This window comes from Homo sapiens, chromosome 19, assembly GCF_000001405.40.
Source record: "Homo sapiens chromosome 19, GRCh38.p14 Primary Assembly".
Classification (NCBI taxonomy): Eukaryota; Metazoa; Chordata; class Mammalia; order Primates; family Hominidae; genus Homo; species Homo sapiens.
This window is the reverse complement of record NC_000019.10, coordinates 450984-469605: the sequence shown is the minus strand read 5'-3', so window position 1 is coordinate 469605 and position 18622 is coordinate 450984. Positions and strand designations below refer to the sequence as shown.

At 61.0% G+C, this 18622-nt stretch overlaps 2 protein-coding genes and 1 pseudogene across 12 annotated transcripts in view, besides 1 other annotated feature; 2 read left to right on the top strand and 1 right to left on the bottom strand.

Annotated features, from left to right (window-relative positions):
* CIMAP1D (CIMAP1 family member D) overlaps positions 1–6245 on the top strand; it is a 28264-nt gene extending 22019 nt beyond the window's left edge. For all 6 annotated transcript variants that reach the window (NM_001385598.1, NM_001385599.1, NM_001385597.1 and 3 more), the window contains 2 exons: positions 1844–1957; positions 5242–6245. In NM_001385598.1, coding sequence (NP_001372527.1) covers positions 1933–1957; positions 5242–5762 — 546 coding nt within the window. In that variant the 5' untranslated portion in view covers positions 1844–1932 and the 3' untranslated portion in view covers positions 5763–6245. The remainder of the gene's footprint in view (positions 1–1843; positions 1958–5241) is intronic.
* Positions 831–1031: a silencer, noted in NCBI's record as "peak3210 fragment used in MPRA reporter construct". NCBI's record gives its function as "represses an SCP1 promoter by STARR-seq MPRAs in K562 erythroleukemia cells {active_cell/tissue: K562}" and the evidence as "EXISTENCE:reporter gene assay evidence [ECO:0000049][PMID:32103011]".
* Positions 6246–8572: 2327 nt separating the features above from the next.
* Positions 8573–18622, top strand: part of SHC2 (SHC adaptor protein 2) — a 44445-nt gene continuing 34395 nt past the window's right edge. For all 6 annotated transcript variants that reach the window (NM_001387056.1, NM_012435.3, XM_011527894.3 and 3 more), the window contains exon 1: positions 8573–9077. In NM_001387056.1, coding sequence (NP_001373985.1) covers positions 8610–9077 — 468 coding nt within the window. In that variant the 5' untranslated portion in view covers positions 8573–8609. The remainder of the gene's footprint in view (positions 9078–18622) is intronic.
* On the bottom strand, positions 16361–16472 carry RNA5SP462 (RNA, 5S ribosomal pseudogene 462; annotated as a pseudogene).

Sequence of the window (18622 nt, the reverse complement as noted above, 5' to 3'; positions counted from 1 at the left end):
TGATTCTCCTGCCTCAGCCTCCTGAGTAGCTGGGACTACAGGCGCCCGCCACCACGCCCGGCTAATTTTTGTATTTTTAGTAGAGACAGGGTTTCACCATATTGGCCAGGCTGGTCTCGAACTCGTGACCTCAGGTGATCCACCCGCCTCAGCCTCCCAAAGTGCTGGGATGACAGGCGTGAGCCACCGCACCCAGCCATGATCAAGGGTTTCTAATAAAAAATTAGCAGGGCATGGTGGTGCATGCCTGTGGTCCCAGAGTTAGGAGGCTGAGGTGGGAGGATTGCTTGAGCCCAGGAGGTCGAGGCTGCAGTGAGCCATGAGCCACTGCACTCTCCAGCCTGGGCGATAGAGTGAGACACTCCCTCAAAAAAAAAAAAAAGAATCTCCCCAGCCTCTTCCAGTCCTGGGGGACTGTATTTGCCCAGGGCCTGGGGAAGGGGCTAAAAATAGACCCCCTCCCTCCTGCCAGTCTAACAAAGGATGAGGCTGTGGCTAAGGGTCAGTGATCACCCTTGGAGTCTGGCCAGTGAGCCTGCGTTGGGGACCACAGCGTATGTGCAAGTACTTGTGCCTGTGGCGGGGAGGTCTGGAGCCGTGTCTGGGCCACACTGCGTGCCACGGACTCCTCAGGGGAGGGCAAAGGTTTGGATGACGTTTCGGGGAGGTCTGGAGCCGTGTCTGGGCCACGCTGCGTGCCACGGACTCCTCAGGGGAGGGCAAAGGTTTGGATGATGTTTCGGGGAGGTCTGGAGCCGTGTCTGGGCCACACTGCGTGCCACGGACTCCTCAGGGGAGGGCGAAGGTGTGGATGACGTTTCCTCCCTCACCCGTGGCTCACTGCCACATGTACAGCATGTGTGCACAGACGGTCTGTGGGGCCGTGAACACCGGTCACGCTGCTACACACAGGTGCCTGCGCATCTGTCACTGGTTGTGCTTTGGCGTGGCAATAATGGTGAAAGCAGCAAACGGTCTCAATCGGGAAGTGCAAGGCCACAGGATCACTCCCTTCTGTGGATCCTCTCACTTTTTGATTTTCTCAACATGCTGATGAGGAAAATAGGCTTAGGATAAATAACTTGGCCAAGGTCACCAGCTCACAAGAGGCCCTGCTGGATTTGAACGTGGTCCAACGCCGAGCCCCCCTCTTAAGCATGCGACCTGCCAGCAAGCCGAAGCCCTGGTTCAGAGCCTAGTCGCTCTTGTCACTCTTTATGTGCAGTTTTTTTTTTCTTTTGAGACTCCATCTTGCTCCGTCGCCCAGGCTGGAGTGCAGTGGCGCGATCACAGCTCACTGCAGCCTCAACCTCCCAGGCTCAAGTGATCCTCCCCCTTCAGCATTCCGAGGAGCTGGGACCCCAGGTGCATGTCAACATGTCTGGCTAAGTTTTAAATTTTTAGTAGAGACGGGATCTTGCTGTGTTGCCCATGCTGGTCTCAAAGTCCTGAGCTCAAGTGACCCTCCTGCCTCGGCCTCTGAAAGTGCTGGGATTACAGGTGTGCACCACCACACCCAGCCTAATTATGTCCAGTTCCAACAAACCCACGAGCTGGTTCTCCAGCCCACACCTGCGCAGAGGTTAGAGGGGCAGAGGTGGCTACAAACAGCAGCAGAGCAGAATCACTTTGACTGTGAGGAGACAGAGTCAGAGCAGAGACCTGAGGCACCCAGTTCAGGCAGCCACAACTCAGGGCCCCTGGGGTGACCCCTCCGAGATGGGACTGGGGTGGCCTCTGACCTGGTGGGAGTGTCTCGGGGCCAAGAGGGGCACTGAGGCCGGGCGGTGGGGCAGGCACTGTCTTCAGAATCACTCTCAGCACTCTGGGCTCCTCTCCCCAGCACCACCTCAGGACACCAGCCCGGGCCCCATCTACTTCTTGGACCCCAAAGTCACACGCTTTGGCCGCAGCTGCACCCCTGCCTACTCCATGCAGGGCCGGGCCAAGTCTCGGGGTGAGTACTGGAGCCAAGCAGCCGCACAAGGACCTGCTTTCCAGGGTCTCAGCGACTCTCCTGCCCTGTCCTCCCTCCCCCTCTTATCCTTGGAGTTCTTAGAATGCAGAGTCTTTGGAGTGATCAAATCCAAGGGACACGGAGGAGGGGCCGCCACTGCAGTGCCCACTGGGGCTGGGAGAACTGAATGAGTGAAGTGGGTCAGGATGACAGAGGCCCTGGGCACACATGGCCACAGAGGCAGCTGGCCTAGGTGTCAGGAGGTGAGAGGTGAATGGGGACTGTGGCAAATCGGCAGTATCCTTCACAGGCACCCAACAGTTTGCCCGCACACCTGACACACCTGCCTGACTCCATTCTCCCATCCACCTGCCCACTCACCCACCATCTATCCATCCACCCTCCACCCAACCATCTACCCACCCGTCCATCCACCCTCCACCAACCATCTTTCCACCCGTCCATCCATTCATCCATCCACCCACCCACCCAACCACCCACCCATCCATCTATCCACCCGCCCATCCACCCTCCACCCAACTATCTATCCACCCGTCCATCCACTCATCCATCCACCCACCCACCCACCCATCCATCTATCCACCCATCCTTCCACCCTCCACCCAACCATCTATCCACCCGTCCATACACTCATCCATCTACCCACCCACCCAACCACCCACCCATCCATCTATCCACCCGCCCATCCACCCTCCACCCAACCATCTATCCACCCGTCCATCCACCCTCCACCCAGCCATCTATCCACCCGTCCATCCACTCATCCATCCACCCACCCACCCACCCACCCATCCATCTATCCACCCATCCTTCCACCATCCACCCAACCATCTACCCATCCATCAATCCACTCATCCATCCACCCACCCAACCATCCACCCATCCACTCATCCATCTATCCACCCATCCATCCACCCTCCACCCAACCATCTATCCACCCGTCCATCCACTCATCCATCCACCCACCTACCCACCCACCCCTCCATCTATCCACCCATGCTTCTACCATCCACCCAAACATCTATCCATCCTTCAATCCACTCATCTATCCACCCACCTAGCATCCACCCTCCCAACCATCCACCCACCAACTCATCCATCTATCCACCCATCCATCCACCATCTACCTAACCATGTATCCACCCATCCATTCACTCATCCATCCACCCACCCACCCATCCAGCCATCTATCCACCCATCCATCCACCATCTACCTAACCTTGTATCCACCCATCCATTCACTCATCCATCCACCCACCCACCCACCCACCCATCTATCCACTCATCCATCCACCCTCCACCCAACCATCTATCCACCCATCCATCCACTCATCCATCCACCCACCCACCCATCCATCCACCATCTACCTAACCATGTATCCACCCATCCATCCACTCATCCATCCACCCACCCGCCCACCCACCCATCCATCTATCCACCCATCCATCTACCATCTACCTAACCATGTATCCACCCATCCATTCACTCATCCATCCACCCACCCACCCATCTATTCACCCATACATCCACCCTGCACCCAACCATCTATCCACCCTTCCATCTACTCATCCATCCACCCACCCATCCACCCACCCATCCATCTATCCACCCGTCCTTCCAGCATCCACCCAACCATCTATCCATCCATCAATCCACTCATCCATCCACCCACCTAGCATCCACCCACCCAACCATCCACCCATCCACTCATCCATCTATCCACCCATCCATCCACCCGCCCATCCACCCACCCATCCACCCACCCATCCATCCATCTATCCACACATCCATCCACCATCCACCCACCCACTCATCCATCCACCCACCTACCCATCTGTCCAGCTATCCACCCACCCACCCATCTATCCACCTACCCATCCATCTGTCCATCCTTTCACCTACCCACTCATTCATCTATCCACCCACCCACCCACACAACCATCTATCTGCCCATCCATCTACCCACCCACTCATCCCTCCACCCACCCATCCATCCACACACCCATCCACACACCGACCTGCACCCATCCACCCACCCACCTGCCTGCCCATCTACCTATCCACTCATCCATCTATCCATCCACCCACCTACCCATCTATCCACTCACCCATCCAGCCAACCATTCACCCATCCACTCACCCATCCACCCACCCACCCATCTATCCACCCACCCACTCATCCATCCAACCATCTACTCACCTACCCATCAATCCACACACCCATCCACCCGCCCATCCAACCACATACCCATCCATCCACCCATCCACCTACCCATTCATCCATCCACTCACTCATCCATCCATCCATCTACACATCCATCCATCCCCCATCCACCCACTCATCATCCATCCATCCATCCATCCATCCACCCATCCACCCGCCCCTCCTTCCACCATCCACCCAACATTCTATCCACCCATCCATCCACTCATCCATTGACCCACCTAGCATCTACCCACCCAGCCATCCACCCACCCACCCATCCATCCATCCACTCATCAACCCATCCATCCATCCACCCACTCACCCATCCACCTATCCATCCTTCCACCCACCCATCCATCCATCCATCATCTATCCACCCATCCACTCACTCATCCATCCATCCATCCGCCCACCCTCCCACCCATTCAGCCACCCACCTACCCACTCATCTATGAATCCTTCCTTTTTTCCTTCTACCTATCAACCGTTCCATCCATCCATCCATCCATCCATCCATCCATCCATCCATCATCCACTCATCCATCCATTTACAAATCCCTTCATGAACCATTCACTCCCCGCTCAACCACTCACCTCCTACCTATCCTGTTCACCCATCAACTCAGACAGTCAACTGCTGGAGAGTTGGAGTAAATTTGACATGCCTTCCTTTTTATGGGATCCCAGTCTGGTGGGGCAGTTAGATGCAGGTGCAGACCATCCCACCTCAGTGTGCTCACGTCTGGAGAGAGGGGAAAACCCAGGCTGTGGGGCTCTGGAAGGGCTGTGAGGGCTCTACCCTGGATGGGCTGGGGAAGGCAGCAGGGAGGAGGGGTGGAAAATGAAGGCGTGCTTGGCCCTGGGTCCAGCTTGGGCAAAGTCCTGGAGGCTTGAAACACAGACCATGTGTATGGAGGATGGGGAAGGGAGAGAAAGGCACCCAGGCTGCTTGAGAAGCGTTGTAAGCTCCAGGGTGCATGTGGGCCATGGGGAGCCAGGCCGGGTCTCTGGGCAGGTGAGGACATCAGTGCCACCTTTCCTTCCCCACTCTCTCAGGTCCGGAGGTGACGCCAGGCCCTGGGGCCTACAGCCCAGAGAAGGTGCCCCCTGTGCGCCATCGGACACCGCCGGCTTTCACCCTGGGCTGCCGCCTCCCCCTGAAGCCCCTGGACACCTCAGCCCCTGCCCCTAATGCCTACACCATGCCCCCTCTGTGGGGCTCACAGATCTTCACCAAGCCCAGCAGCCCCAGCTACACGGTGGTGGGCCGCACCCCCCCCGCCCGCCCCCCGCAGGATCCTGCTGAGATACCAGGCCCGGGCCAGTACGACAGCCCGGACGCAAACACCTACCGCCAGCGCCTGCCTGCCTTCACCATGCTGGGGCGGCCCCGGGCCCCGCGACCCCTGGAGGAGACCCCCGGCCCTGGCGCCCACTGCCCAGAGCAGGTCACCGTGAACAAAGCCAGGGCTCCAGCGTTCTCTATGGGCATCCGCCACTCGAAACGGGCCAGCACCATGGCCGCCACCACGCCCTCCCGGCCTGCGGGGCACAGGCTGCCCGGCCGCTGCTGCTAGGCCAGGCCTGTTTCCCACACAGTGAACGGGGGGCTGGCGGGCCTCTCCTGGGGCCTGGCTTTGGCTGGAGGGGCTAGAAGGCGAGAGGGGCTGGGAAAGGAGTCTTCCCTCCCCTTTCCTGAACTGTCCAGGTCCTTCTAGGACACCTGATCCTTCCAGTCCCTGGGGGCTGTGACCCATGGCCCTGTGCAGGGTGCAGGGTGAGTCTCCTTCCAGTGCCCCAGTTTCTTCCAGGTCACGCCAGGCCAGGCCAGGCCAGGTGGGGAAAGGGACACCTTCCGGCCCTCCCCAGTAGCTGGCTGGAGATGGAGCTTCCTGTGTCCCAGAACTCGGCGTCCAGCTCCACTAGGGCCTGGATCCCCATCACAGCTTGGGTTAGCCCCGGTCCCAGCCCAAACTCAGGCTGGAGGCAGCCCCGAGGCCTGTGCCTTTCCCACTCCACCTTCTACAGTTGCTTAGCCAATAAACCTTTCCTGGGCTGGAGAGCTGTCAGCATCACATGTGCTTACTCATTTAATGTGTCTTTTTTTTTTTTTTTTTTTTGAGACGGAGTCTCGCACTCCCGCCCAGACTGAAGTGCAGTGGCGCGATCTCGGCTCACTGCAAGCTCCGCCTCCCGGGTTCACGCCATTCTCCTGCCTCAGCCTCCCGAGTAGCTGGGACTACAGGCGCCCGCCACCACGCCTGGCTAATTTTTTGTATTTTTAGTAGAGATGGGGTTTCACCATGTTAGCCAGGATGGTCTCGATCTTCTGACCTTGTGATCCTCCTGCCTTGGCCTCCCAAAGTGCTGGGATTACAGGCATGAGCCACCGAGCCCGGCCTTAACGTGTCTATTGATGTCACAGAAAAGAGACCCGAACGCCGCCCTCCAGAGCCAGACCCGTAGCCCTCCAGTGGCCAGGGGGTCTGAGAGACCAGAAGAGAGACCCAGGGCGAGGGGAGGCCGGAGGTGGAGCCAAGCTTTTGAGCAGGCAGCCAGGTAGGCTTCCTGGAAGAGGCAATATTGAAGCTGGGTTTTGAAGGATGTATAGGAGCTTGAGGTATTCTAATATCTGCCATCAGTAGCTGCTTGCTATGTTTTGGATATTAATAAAGATCATCTAGGCTTCATAGCAACTCAGGACCAGGGGCATCTACTGAGAGGAAATGGTGCTTTGGAGAGACTGGACATTTGTCCTGGGGCATGCTGTGAGCCCCCACCTCAGTCTGATGTCAGGATTTGAACTCTGGATGTTGGACTGAGTTCCTGCCACTGTCTCCAAGGGACAGGAAGGAAACACACCGGGGGTGCCGTGTGACTGAGCCCTCTGTGTGCCAGGGAGGGATGGCACCTGGACCACCTTACAAACCTCCCATCCAGAAAGACCCTAATCCCGGAGCTTGGGAGGGTGCGACACTGCCCCGGGACCTCCCTGAGGGATGCAGCCTGGGAGGCATGCAGGGCGCAGAGAGGGGGTGGTGGGGCTGCTCTCTCCTCAGCCCACAGCCCTCAGCCTAGGGCCGCCAAACCTGTCCCACCCTTTACCCATTAGGTGAACACACCCCAGGACCCAGCAGCCTGGATCCCCTGCATATGCCTGGACACGCACCCAGACACAGCGTACACCCTGCGCACAACACACACACCGCGCGCAGGTCCAGCCGCGGCTCCAGCCCGACCAATCGCGCCCACGATCTGCTCCTCCCGCGGACGCGCAGGGGCTGAGTCCGACACGCGCCGCGGCAGAGACGGCCGATCGCGACCGCGCGCCTCGCTCCCCTCCCCCACCTCCCCGGCCCCGCGGGCGGCGCCGGCTGTGATCTCATCCCCTGAATTATCGATCGGGCTCCGGGCAGCCTCGCCCCTCCCTCCCTCCCCACCTGCCAGCGCGTCCCGGCCCCTCCCTTTGTTCCCGGCAATCAGCCCTGCTTGGGGCGGGGCAGGTGCAGGGGAGCTCCAGCCAAGTCGGGCCAGGAGGCTGGGTCCCGGGGTGACAGTGACACCCCGTTTTCTGGTGCAGAAGGAACCGACCCTTGAGGCCAGGGAAGGTGCGGCCGGTCTCGGAGAGGTTGAGGCTGGGGATGGAGCGACCGGCCTGGGAGGCTGAGGCCCAGAGCTCAGATGAGCTGGTGCGGGACTGGGCTCCCCAGAAGTGAGGGAAGAAGGGCCGCGACCCTCCAGCCCGCTCCCCTGAGTTACAGCCGGAGAAACTGAGGCCGGGACAGGCCGCAGAGCAGGGGCCCGGCTCCGCTCCTAGCCCCGCCCCCCCCCCCCACCCCCGAGCCGGCACTCCTGGGTTTGAGCTTCGTCTGTGAGCCCTCGGCCGCGCCCCTTCCCCTCCCCGCGCCTCAGTTTCCCCACTAAGAAATAGGGGTGACCCTAAGGTACCTTCTAGCTGCAACAACGGAGAGGGAGGGGCTGACCTTAGGGTCTGGGGTTCTCTTTTCCCTGGCCGCGCCTCCCGGGGCCTCAGTTTCCCCACTAGGAAATAGGGGAAAGAAGGGATGTGGAATTTCTAAGCTTCTCCAGCTCGGTCCTTCTGCGAACTTGGGCGGCGGGCGGGGGTGGGGGGCGCAGCGGGGAGGGTCGCTGACGGGGTTCTGGGTTCAAAGCCCCGTCCCGCCTTGGCTGCGGGTTCCAGGCCAGCGCCCGGTGTCCTCGGAGGGCCTCAGTTTCCCCAGCCTCGCGGCCAGGCTCCGGGACGAGGAGGGCCGGGGTCCCAGGGGCGCAGCCCCCCGCGGCTGCGCGCTGGGCCGGGCGGATGACATCACCGGGCCGGGGGGCGGGAGGGAGCGGGCGGAGCGGGAGGGCTTCCTCCGCGCCAGGCGCAGCGCCCGGTCGGGCTCCGTCGGGCGGCCGCGGCCATGACGCAGGGTCCGGGCGGGCGCGCGCCCCCGGCGCCCCCCGCGCCCCCCGAGCCCGAGGCGCCCACCACCTTCTGCGCGTTGCTGCCCCGAATGCCGCAGTGGAAGTTCGCGGCCCCGGGCGGCTTCCTGGGCCGCGGCCCGGCGGCGGCGCGGGCGGCTGGGGCCTCGGGGGGCGCGGACCCCCAACCCGAGCCGGCGGGCCCGGGGGGCGTCCCGGCGCTGGCGGCCGCCGTCCTGGGCGCCTGCGAGCCCCGCTGCGCCGCGCCCTGTCCCCTGCCCGCGCTCAGCCGCTGTCGGGGCGCGGGGTCGCGGGGGTCGCGGGGCGGGCGGGGGGCGGCGGGGTCCGGGGACGCCGCCGCCGCCGCCGAGTGGATCCGGAAGGGCAGCTTCATCCACAAACCCGCGCACGGCTGGCTACACCCCGACGCCAGGGTCCTGGGGCCCGGGGTCTCCTACGTCGTGCGGGTGAGTCCCCCCCACCCCCCCCGGGAGCCCGTTCGCGGCGGCCTCCCCTCCCCCACCCTCTCCTCCGGGACCCCCGGACCCCGCGAGCCAGGTGTCCCCTCCCCATCCTTCCTGCTCTCCCGCCACCCCGGACCCCCATCCCCGGCCGGCGGCCGGCGGCTGCCCCCACCCGGAGGCGCTGGGGTCCGGGTTCCCACGGCGTCACGTGGGGAGGGGCGGGGAGAGGGCGGCGGGGGAGGGGCGCGCATGCGCAGGTGCACCGCCCCCCACTCGGACTGGGCGGGCGAGGCCGAGAGCGGCGAGCGGCCGGGGCGTCTCTGCCACCGGAGCCCCCCGGACAGCTGTTCACGAATGACAGACGGGGCCCGAGACGCTGGCCTGCGGTGGGGGTGCGGGAAGGGGTGTTTGGAAAGGGGCTGGCGCCCGGACAGACCCCAGGATTCCAGATGGGAGGCAGCAGGGACTTCCAGGGCGGCCAAGGAAGCGGCCTTTGTTTATTTACCTTGGGTCTTATGATAAATGAACCTTTTCAAACACACGGGGAAGTCGGGCGCCTGGACACAGCACGCCTCCACCTAGGAGGGTAACCTTCCCCTCTGCTGACGGGTCTGCCCCTCTCTGTGGTTTATAGTAAACCGTGTGAAGTCACCTGCAGGGGTGACAGCGCCGTGCATAGTCCCCCGTCTTCTGAGAGAGCAGCTGTCCTACAGCTGCAGTCATTACGGCGTCTGGGAAAATGATCAGCCACTCCCGCACGCCACTACCGGTGGGTGCTCCCAGCTCCTCCCGGCCTCTGCGGCCAGGAACATTAGCCTGTGTTCACATTGGGTTGTGTCTTTGCTTTTCTGGACACTGAGTTCAGTAGGGTCCTTCCCTCTACACTGAGTTGAGAAGGGTCCTTCCCCTTACACTGAGTTCAGTGGGGTCCTTCCCCCTACGCTGAGTTCAGTGGGGTCCTTCCCCCTACGCTGAGTTCAGTAGGGTCCTTCCCTCTACACTGAGTTGAGAAGGGTCCTTCCCCCTACGCTGGGTTCAGTGGGGTCCTTCCCCCTACGCTGAGTTGAGAGGGGTCCTTCCCCCTACGCTGGGTTCAGTGGGGTCCTTCCCCCTACGCTGGGTTCAGTGGGGTCCTTCCCCCTACGCTGGCTTCAGTGGGGTCCTTCCCCCTACGCTGGCTTCAGTGGGGTCCTTCCCCCTACGCTGGGTTCAGTGGGGTCCTTCCCCCTACGCTGGCTTCAGTGGGGTCCTTCCCCCTACACCGAGTTGAGAGGGGTCCTTCCCCCTACGCTGGGTTCAGTGGGGTCCTTCCCCCTACGCTGGGTTCAGTGGGGTCCTTCCCCCTACACCGAGTTGAGAAGGGTCCCCCTACAATTCCTGTGCCGTAGGAGTCTGACCTTATTACCTTATATTGGGAACAGGGTCCTTGCAGATGTAACCTAGTCAAGATGAGGCCTACCTGGATCAGGGGTCTCTGTAAGGAGAAGGAACTTTAGACTCAGATGCACAGAGGAGCGGGCCGTTAGGAGACAGGCAGAGGTGGGGGCCTCAAGCCCGGGCCCACCAAAGCCTGTGGGAGCCCCCAGAAGCTGGCTGTGAAACCTCACTCCCCCACGTGTGGTCCCCAGGCGCGCTCGGCCTGCGCAGTACAACCGGCTTCTGCCTCCCCAGGACCCGCTTCCGCCTCCCCGGAACCCTCTTCCGCCTCCCCAAGACCCGCTTCCGCCTCCCCAGGACCCGCTTCCGCCTCCCCGGAACCCGCCTCCGCCTCCCCGGGACCCGCTTCCGCCTCCCCGGAACCCACTTCCGCCTCCCCAAGACCCGCTTCCGCCTCCCCGGAACCCGCTTCCCCCTCCCCCGGAACCCACTTCCGCCTCCCCAAGACCGGCTTCCGCCTCCCCGGAACCCGCGTCCGCCTCCCTGGAACCCACTTCCCCGTCCCCCGGAACCCGCTTCCGCCTCCCCAGGACCCGCTTCCACCTCCCCGGAACCCGAATCCGCCTCCCCAGGACCCGCTTCCGCCTCCCCGGAACCTGCTTCCCCGTCCCCCGGAACATGCGTCTGCCTCCCCGGAACCCACTTCCGCCTCCCCAAGACCCGCTTCTGCCTCCCCAGGACCCGCTTCCGCCTCCCCGGAACCCGATTCCGCCTCCCCGGGACCCGCTTCCGCCTCCCCGGAACCCGCTTCTGTCTCCCCGGAACCCGCTTCCGCCTCCCCAAGACCCGCTTCCGCCTCCCCGGGACCCACTTCCGCCTCCCCAAGACCCGCTTCCGCCTCCCCGGAACCCACTTCCCCCTCCGCCGGAACCCGCGTCTGCCTCCCCGGAACCCACTTCCCCGTCCCCCGGAACATGCGTCTGCCTCCCCGGAACCCGCTTCCGTCTCCCCGGAACCCACTTCCGCCTCCCCAAGACCCGCTTCTGCCTCCCCGGGACCCACTTCCGCCTCCCCAAGACCCGCTTCCGCCTCCCCAAGACCCGCTTCCGCCTCCCCGGAACCTACTTCCGCCTCCCCAAGACCCTCTTCTGCCTCCCCGGGACCGGCTTCCGCCTCCCCAGGACCCGCTTCCGCCTCCCCGGGACCCACTTCCGCCTCCCCCGGGTCTGTGCGGATGCCAGGCCTGGTTGGGTCTGTTTTCCCTGGTGGCATCGGGCCGCCCTCGCCGTCTCCCGGCGGTTTGTCCTACAAGTTTAACGCCGACGGCCGGCGTGTTCCACGGAGGACGCGTGCGCTTCCTTCACACCACATCCATTGGGACCAGTCAGGTGTGGCCATTGGCCGTGGATGTGGGATTTAGAATGTTCAGAATTCAGACGCCAGGGTTGTTGGGGCTCCGGATGTTGGGGGATAACTGCTGCTTTCCGTCACTGCAGGAAATATTTAGCATACGCTTCCCCTGCCCGGCACAGATGATGAGTAGACAATGAGAGACCTCGTTCCTGCTCTCAAGGAGCTTGGATTCCAGTAGGAGAGACAGTCAATCAGAAGAGGACAAACAGATGAGGAAATAGGTTCTGGTAGCGGCTCTGCAGAGCTAAAATCGTGTGATATTAGAGCAGGAGGCTGGGCGGCTGCCCCTCCCAGGAGGCGACCTTGAAGCTGAGACCTGAGCCATGGAAACCCCGGCCGTGGGGTTTGCAGACATAGTTCTAGACGGGGCACAGCAGGTGCAGGTGCAAAGGCCTGATATGGTGGGTTTGCAGACAGAGATCTAGGGGGGGTACAGCAGGTGCAGGTGCAAAGGCCTGATGTGGTGGGGTTTGCAGACAGAGTTCTAGTCGGGGCACAGCAGGTGCAGGTGCAAAGGCCTGATGTGGTGGGGTTTGCAGACAGAGTTCTAGTCGGGGCACAGCAGGTGCTGGTGCAAAGGCCTGATGTGGTGGGGTTTGCAGACAGAGTTCTAGTCGGGGCACAGCAGGTGCAGGTGCAAAGGCCTGATGTGGTGGGGTTTGCAGACAGAGTTCTAGGCGGGGCACAGCAGGTGCAAAGGCCCCACGCGGTGGGTTTACAGACAGAGTTCTAGGCGGGGCACAGCAGCTGCAGGTGCAAAGGCCTGACTGTGGAGTTTACAGACAGAGTTCTAGGGGCGGGGCACAGCAGGTGCAAAGGCCCCACGCAGTGGGTTTACAGACAGAGTTCTAGGCAGGGGCACAGCAGGTGCAAAGGCCCCACGTGGTGGGGATTGCAGACAGAGTTCCAGGCAGGGGCACAGCAGGTGCAAAGGCCCCACGTGGTGGGGATTGCAGACAGAGTTCTAGACGGGGCACAGCAGGTGCAGGTGCAAAGGCCTGACGCGGTGGAGTTTGCAGACAGAGTTCTAGGGGGGGCACAGCAGGTGCAAAGGCCCCACGCAGGGAGCGGACCTGGTGCGTGTGCGTCACGGCAAGGAGAGCCATGAGACTGGAGCTGATGGAGAGGGAGCGGGACTCTCTCTGTGGGCTGTGGTGAGGAGTGGGGGTGGTTTTAAGTAGGGGGTGGCGCAGAGTGTGCAGTTTTGAAAGCCCTTCCAGGGGCCGTGTGGAAGTGTTGCTGAGGGAGGAGGAGGGTCTGGAAGGGCAGCAGAGACCCGGGAGGAGGCTGCGAGGGACGGCGGTGGCCCAGGCCAGGGGACCTAGGTGAGGGGAGAAGTGGACAATGAGCCTGTGTTGGAGCCCGGAGGAGTTGCTGATGGACCAGGGGCCCTGGCCCCCAGGGAGCCTGACCGGCCTCAGCCCCCAGCGCTGTCCCCCAGGAGCCCCGTCTCCCAGCACCTACATCACAGCAGGCACAGGGACAGCCGGTCCCTCCTGGTCACAGGGAAGCTTGAGTTAAGGAGGGGAATAGCCAAGCCCCATCACCCGGGGGCTGCGGCCGGCGGCTCAGGCCCGCAGGGCTCTTCCACACTGGAGGGACCCTGTGCACTGAGGGAAACTGAGGCACAGAGAGGCCGAGCTGTGTCTGAGGTTACGCAGTGAAAAGCAGGACCAGAACCCGGGGCTGAGGGTCCTCCTGCGGGAGCCGGAGAGAACATTCTGAGGGCACTCGTCACGCACGCACCTGTGTGGGGCACAGCAACGGCCCCGTGTCCACATCCACCCTCGGATTCTGTGAAGGTGCCCCTCACACGGCGACAGGGGACCTGCAGGTGGGACCGAGTGAGCAACCCTGAGATGGGATGATTTGGGGGCCCGGTGTCCTCGCAGCAGGGGGTGAGAGTCAGAGAGAGACCGGAAGAGGCTGCGCTGTGGCTGCTAACCGGGAGGAAGGGGCCCCCAGCCAAGGGATGTGGGCCCCTCAGGACGCTGGGAAAGGCGGAGCAGATTGGGAACCAACTCTGCCCACACCTTGATTTTAGACTTCTGAGCTCTAGACATAAGCGGATTAGCTCGCGTTGTTTGGAGCCACTCAATTTGTGGTGATTGGTGATAGCAGCAAGAGGGAGTGGATGGGCCGGGCGACTCAGCCGGCATCGCAGAACCCCCCAGAATCCTGCAGCGATCCCGGTGTGTGGGAGAGAAGTTGGACGCCGGATAATCAGCGGCGTGGGCCCCGCGTCCGAGCGCCGTGGGCAGCATCGGTGCAAATGCAGTACCTCCGGCGCCGAGGCTCACGCCGAGTCCTGCGCGGTGCTGAGTTCCGAGGAGCCCTGGGTTCCATTCTCCCCACAACCCTGCGGCTTCCACCCATTTTATAGATGAGGCAGCTGAGGCACAGCAGGTCAAAGAGCTGCCCGAGAGCCCTTCCCTGGGTCATGGCACTCGCGATGCCTTTAGGGCTGTCACCACAGACCTGACTCGGAGCTGCTGGGCGCCAAAGGGACCTTGATTGTCTCCTGCGAGAAGAACCCGGGGTCGGCGGCTCTGGGGTTGGTTAATTCAGCAGCTCAGTGACTTTGTCATGGGTCCAGGTCATTGTTATTTCACCGAAATTCATGCCAACCTGGAACCCCAAAATGAGGCCTTCTGTGGAACAGGCTCTCTGCAGGTGTCATTAAACAAGGTCACGTTGGATTCAGGTCACCCTGACCCGGTGACTGCCGTCTTTATGAGAAGCTGAGTGAGGGCACAGAGAGAAGGACGCGGGACAGGATGAGAGGGGCAGAGACGAGCGATGCGGCCACGGGCCAAGGATGTCAGGGAGCCCCGGCCACCACCAGCACTGGGAGAGGCAGGACGGGCCTTCCCCTGCTGCCTCCAGAGGGGACGGGCTTCCGGCCCTCAGGCCTGTGTGAGGAAGCATTTCTATGGTCTTTTTTTTTTTTTGAGACAGAGTTTCCCTCTTGTTGCTGAGGCTGGAGTGCCGTGGCGCGATCTCGGCTCACCGCAACCTCCGCCTCCCGGGTTCAAGCGATTCTCCTGCCTCAGCCTCCTGAGTAGCTGGGACTACAGGCGCCCGCCACCATGCTCAGCTAATTTTGTTTGTATTTTCAGTAGAGATGGGGTTTCACCCTGTTGGCCAGGCTGGTCTTGAACTCCTGACCTCAGGTGATCCGCCCGCCTGCGCCTCCCAAAGTGCTGGGATGACAGGTGTGCGCCGTCGCGTCCGGCCCATTTCTGTTGTCTTAAGCCCCGTTTGTGGGGATCTGTTAGGGCAGCCACGGGAGACCGACCGCCTTCCCGGGGCCTCTGCTGGGTCAGTTCCTCCCCTGGCTGAAAGGCAGTGGCTCTGGTTTGGCAGAACAGGGTCCCCTGTCTCTGTGGGGCTCCTTTTGTGAATGGGGACATTTTTCCTGAGAATCCCCCGCCGACTTTGCCGTGGGTCTCATGAGCCCAGCCCGGCACTGCCCAGCAGAACCGTCCGTGTCTGCACCGTCCAGTGTGGCTGCCGTGAGTCACATGGGCGGCTGGGCCTCGAGGTGTGGCCTGTGCTGTTGCAGTGCCAGCTTCATTTTACCTGACTTTTCTCAAGTGGTCACAGGCAGCAAGCAGCTGCCGTGCTGGACAGCTCGGTCTGGGTGAATCTTGACGCCTGATCTTTGGGCTTCACCCGAAGGCGTAGATCTGAGCAAGATGTCTCTGTTGAGAAAGACACAGAGCTTGTCTCCTGGAGAGGCCAGAGTTCGTGCCAAGGTCTGTGGACACCGACCCCGTGTTCTCCCACACGTACCATTTTGGCGCTGGGCTCGTCCATACACAGAAGTCCCGTGAGTCAGGCCGTCCTGCTCTCTGCGGTGCCCTCACGCACCTCACCTCGTGAGCACTTCAGGGAGAGTTTCCTGTGCGTGTCTGGCTCTGCTCCAGGTGCGTGGAGCCCAGGCCCGGTGGGGGATGGACGCAAACTGGGACACGGTCGGCAAAATGACACTTCATCCTTCCTGCATCGCGGGTCCCTTAAGCTGGGAGGTGCGGGGAGTTGTGAGAGGGTGCTGGAGATGGTTCAGCTCCAAATGCAGCTTTTCCTTGAAGGCGAGGGGTCAGGTGTGGCCAGTTGACACGGTGGATGAATCCCATGGCTCGACAGCATCCCTAAAGATCTGGGTTCTGGCCGGGCGTGGTGGCTCACGCCTGTAATCCAGCATTTTGGAAGACCAAGGCGGCAGGATCACTTGAGCCCAGGAGTTTGAGACCAGCCTGGGCAGCTTGGTGAAACCCTGTCTCTACCAAAAAAGAAAAAACATTAGCCAGGCAGGGTGGTGCACACCTGTGGTCCCGGCTATGTGGGAGACTGAGGCAGGAGGAGCACGTGAGCCTGAGAATTCGAGGCCGCAGTGAGCCAAGATCATGCCACTGCCCTCCAGCCTGGGTGACAGAGCAAGACCCTGCCTCAGAAACAAAACTCAGGTTTTGTTTCTGAGAACAAAGAACCCATATCTGGGTTCTTTCTGTCCTTCTCCCATCCAAGTACCAATCAGGCCCGACCCTGCTCAGCTTCCAAGGCCAGACAACATTGGGCTGTTTTCAGGACGGTGTGACCACAGTCTCTCCCATCTTTCTGTGCCGCCGTCCTCTGCACGCTGGCTTGGCGACCTTCAGGGTCACAAAATGGTGGCCACAGCACCCGACGTCGCTGGGACCCGGCCACGTCCACTGGGAGCAGAGGTCATCCCTTCCTGGAGCTCTTTGTGAGAGACTCCGGCCGTTCTCCCTCCTCCATTGGCTGGAAATGGCAAACCCTTCACTTGTGGAAGGGAACGGGGCCACCAAACTGGCTTAAAGACCAGCGGCATCTGGGAACCTGTTGCAAATGCTGATTCTCGAGCCCCACCCCAGACCTGCTGGGTCAGAGACTCTGGGGGGCTTGGAGAGCTGCGTTTTGTGAGTCCTCCAGGTGATTCTGAGTCACACTCAGGTCTGAGATCCACCAGCTGCAGCTGCGTGTGGCCGTCCTGCCGATCAACTACCACTATTTATAGCAAGCATTCTGTGATCCTTCACTCCTGAAATGAAACCCAAGTGTACCTGTAACACCCACCTACGCAGGAACTCCAAGTCAGTACGATGCCCCAACCGCAGTGAAACGGAGAAACGCACACCTACGCAGGAATTCCCCCCAAGTCAGTACGATGCCCCAACCTCAATGAAACGGAGAAACGCACACCTACGCAGGAACTCCCCCCAAGTCAGTACGATGCCCCAACCTCAATGAAATGGAGAAACGCACACCTATGCAGGAATTCCCCCCAAGTCAGTACGATGCCCCAACCTCAATGAAACGGAGAAACGCACACCTACGCAGGAATTCCCCCCAAGTCAGTACGATGCCCCAACCTCAATGAAACGGAGAAACGCACACCTACGCAGGAACTCCCCCCAAGTCAGTACGATGCCCCAACCTCAATGAAACGGAGAAACGCACACCTACGCAGGAACTCCCCCCAAGTCAGTACGATGCCCCAACCTCAATGAAATGGAGAAACGCACACCTACGCAGGAATTCCCCCCAAGTCAGTACGATGCCCCAACCGCAGTGAAACGGAGAAACGCAATGGTGGTGATTCCTAGTAACTCAAAATATGTTTCAGCCTGTAAATGTGCAGGGTCCACTCTCCGGGAAGCACAGAGGCCGCCACAAAGGCCACCATTCCTGTGACAGCCACAGACGGGGCAGATGCAGGCTGCCATTCTGCAGCTCCGACACCACGGCTGGAGTCACACGGACGATTTGGCTTCTAAAATAGTGAACAACTATTTTAGTCCAACTTGTATAAAAACGATGCTGCCAGGCACGGAGGCTCATTCCTATAATCCCAGCACTTTGGGAGGCAGAGGCGGGCTGATCACCTGAGGTCAGGAGTTCGACACCAGCCTGTCAACATGGTGAAACCCCGTCTCTACTAAAAATACAAAAATTGGCTGGGTGTGATGGCGGGCAACTGTAATCCCAGCTACTCGGGAGGCTGAGGCAGGAGAATCGCTTGAACCCAAGAGGTGGAGGTTGCAGTGAGCCGAGATCACGCCACTGCACTCCAGCCTGGGCGACAGAGTGAGACTATGTCTCAAAACAAACAAAAAATGCCAAAAAGTTAAAGAGAATTACCTTATGATCCACCAATTTCACTTCTTGGATATATACCTCCCAGAAATGGAGAGCAGGGACTTGAGGGGATGTTTGTACACTCACGGCCACAGCAGCATAACTCCCAGCAGCCCAAAGGTGGAAACAGTCCAGGTGTCTGTTGATGGATGAGTGGATCAACACAGCATGGCCATCCACATGCTGAAATACGACGTGGCCCACGGCGTGGCCATCCACACGCTGAAATACGGCACAGCCACGGCGTGGCCATCCACACGCTGAAATATGATGTGGCCACAGCGTGGCCATCCACATGCTGAAATACAGCACAGCCACGGCGTGGCCATCCACACACTGAAATATGACGTGGCCACGGCGTGGCCATCCACACGCTGAAATATGACGTGGCTATGGTATGGCCATCCACACGCTGAAATACAGCACAGCCATGGCGTGGCCATCCACACACTGAAATATGATGTGGCTATGGTATGGCCATCCACACGCTAAAATACGACGTGGCCACGGCGTGGCCATCCACACGCTGAAATATGATGTGGCCACGGCGTGGCCATCCACACGCTGAAATACGGCACAGCCATGGCGTGGCCATC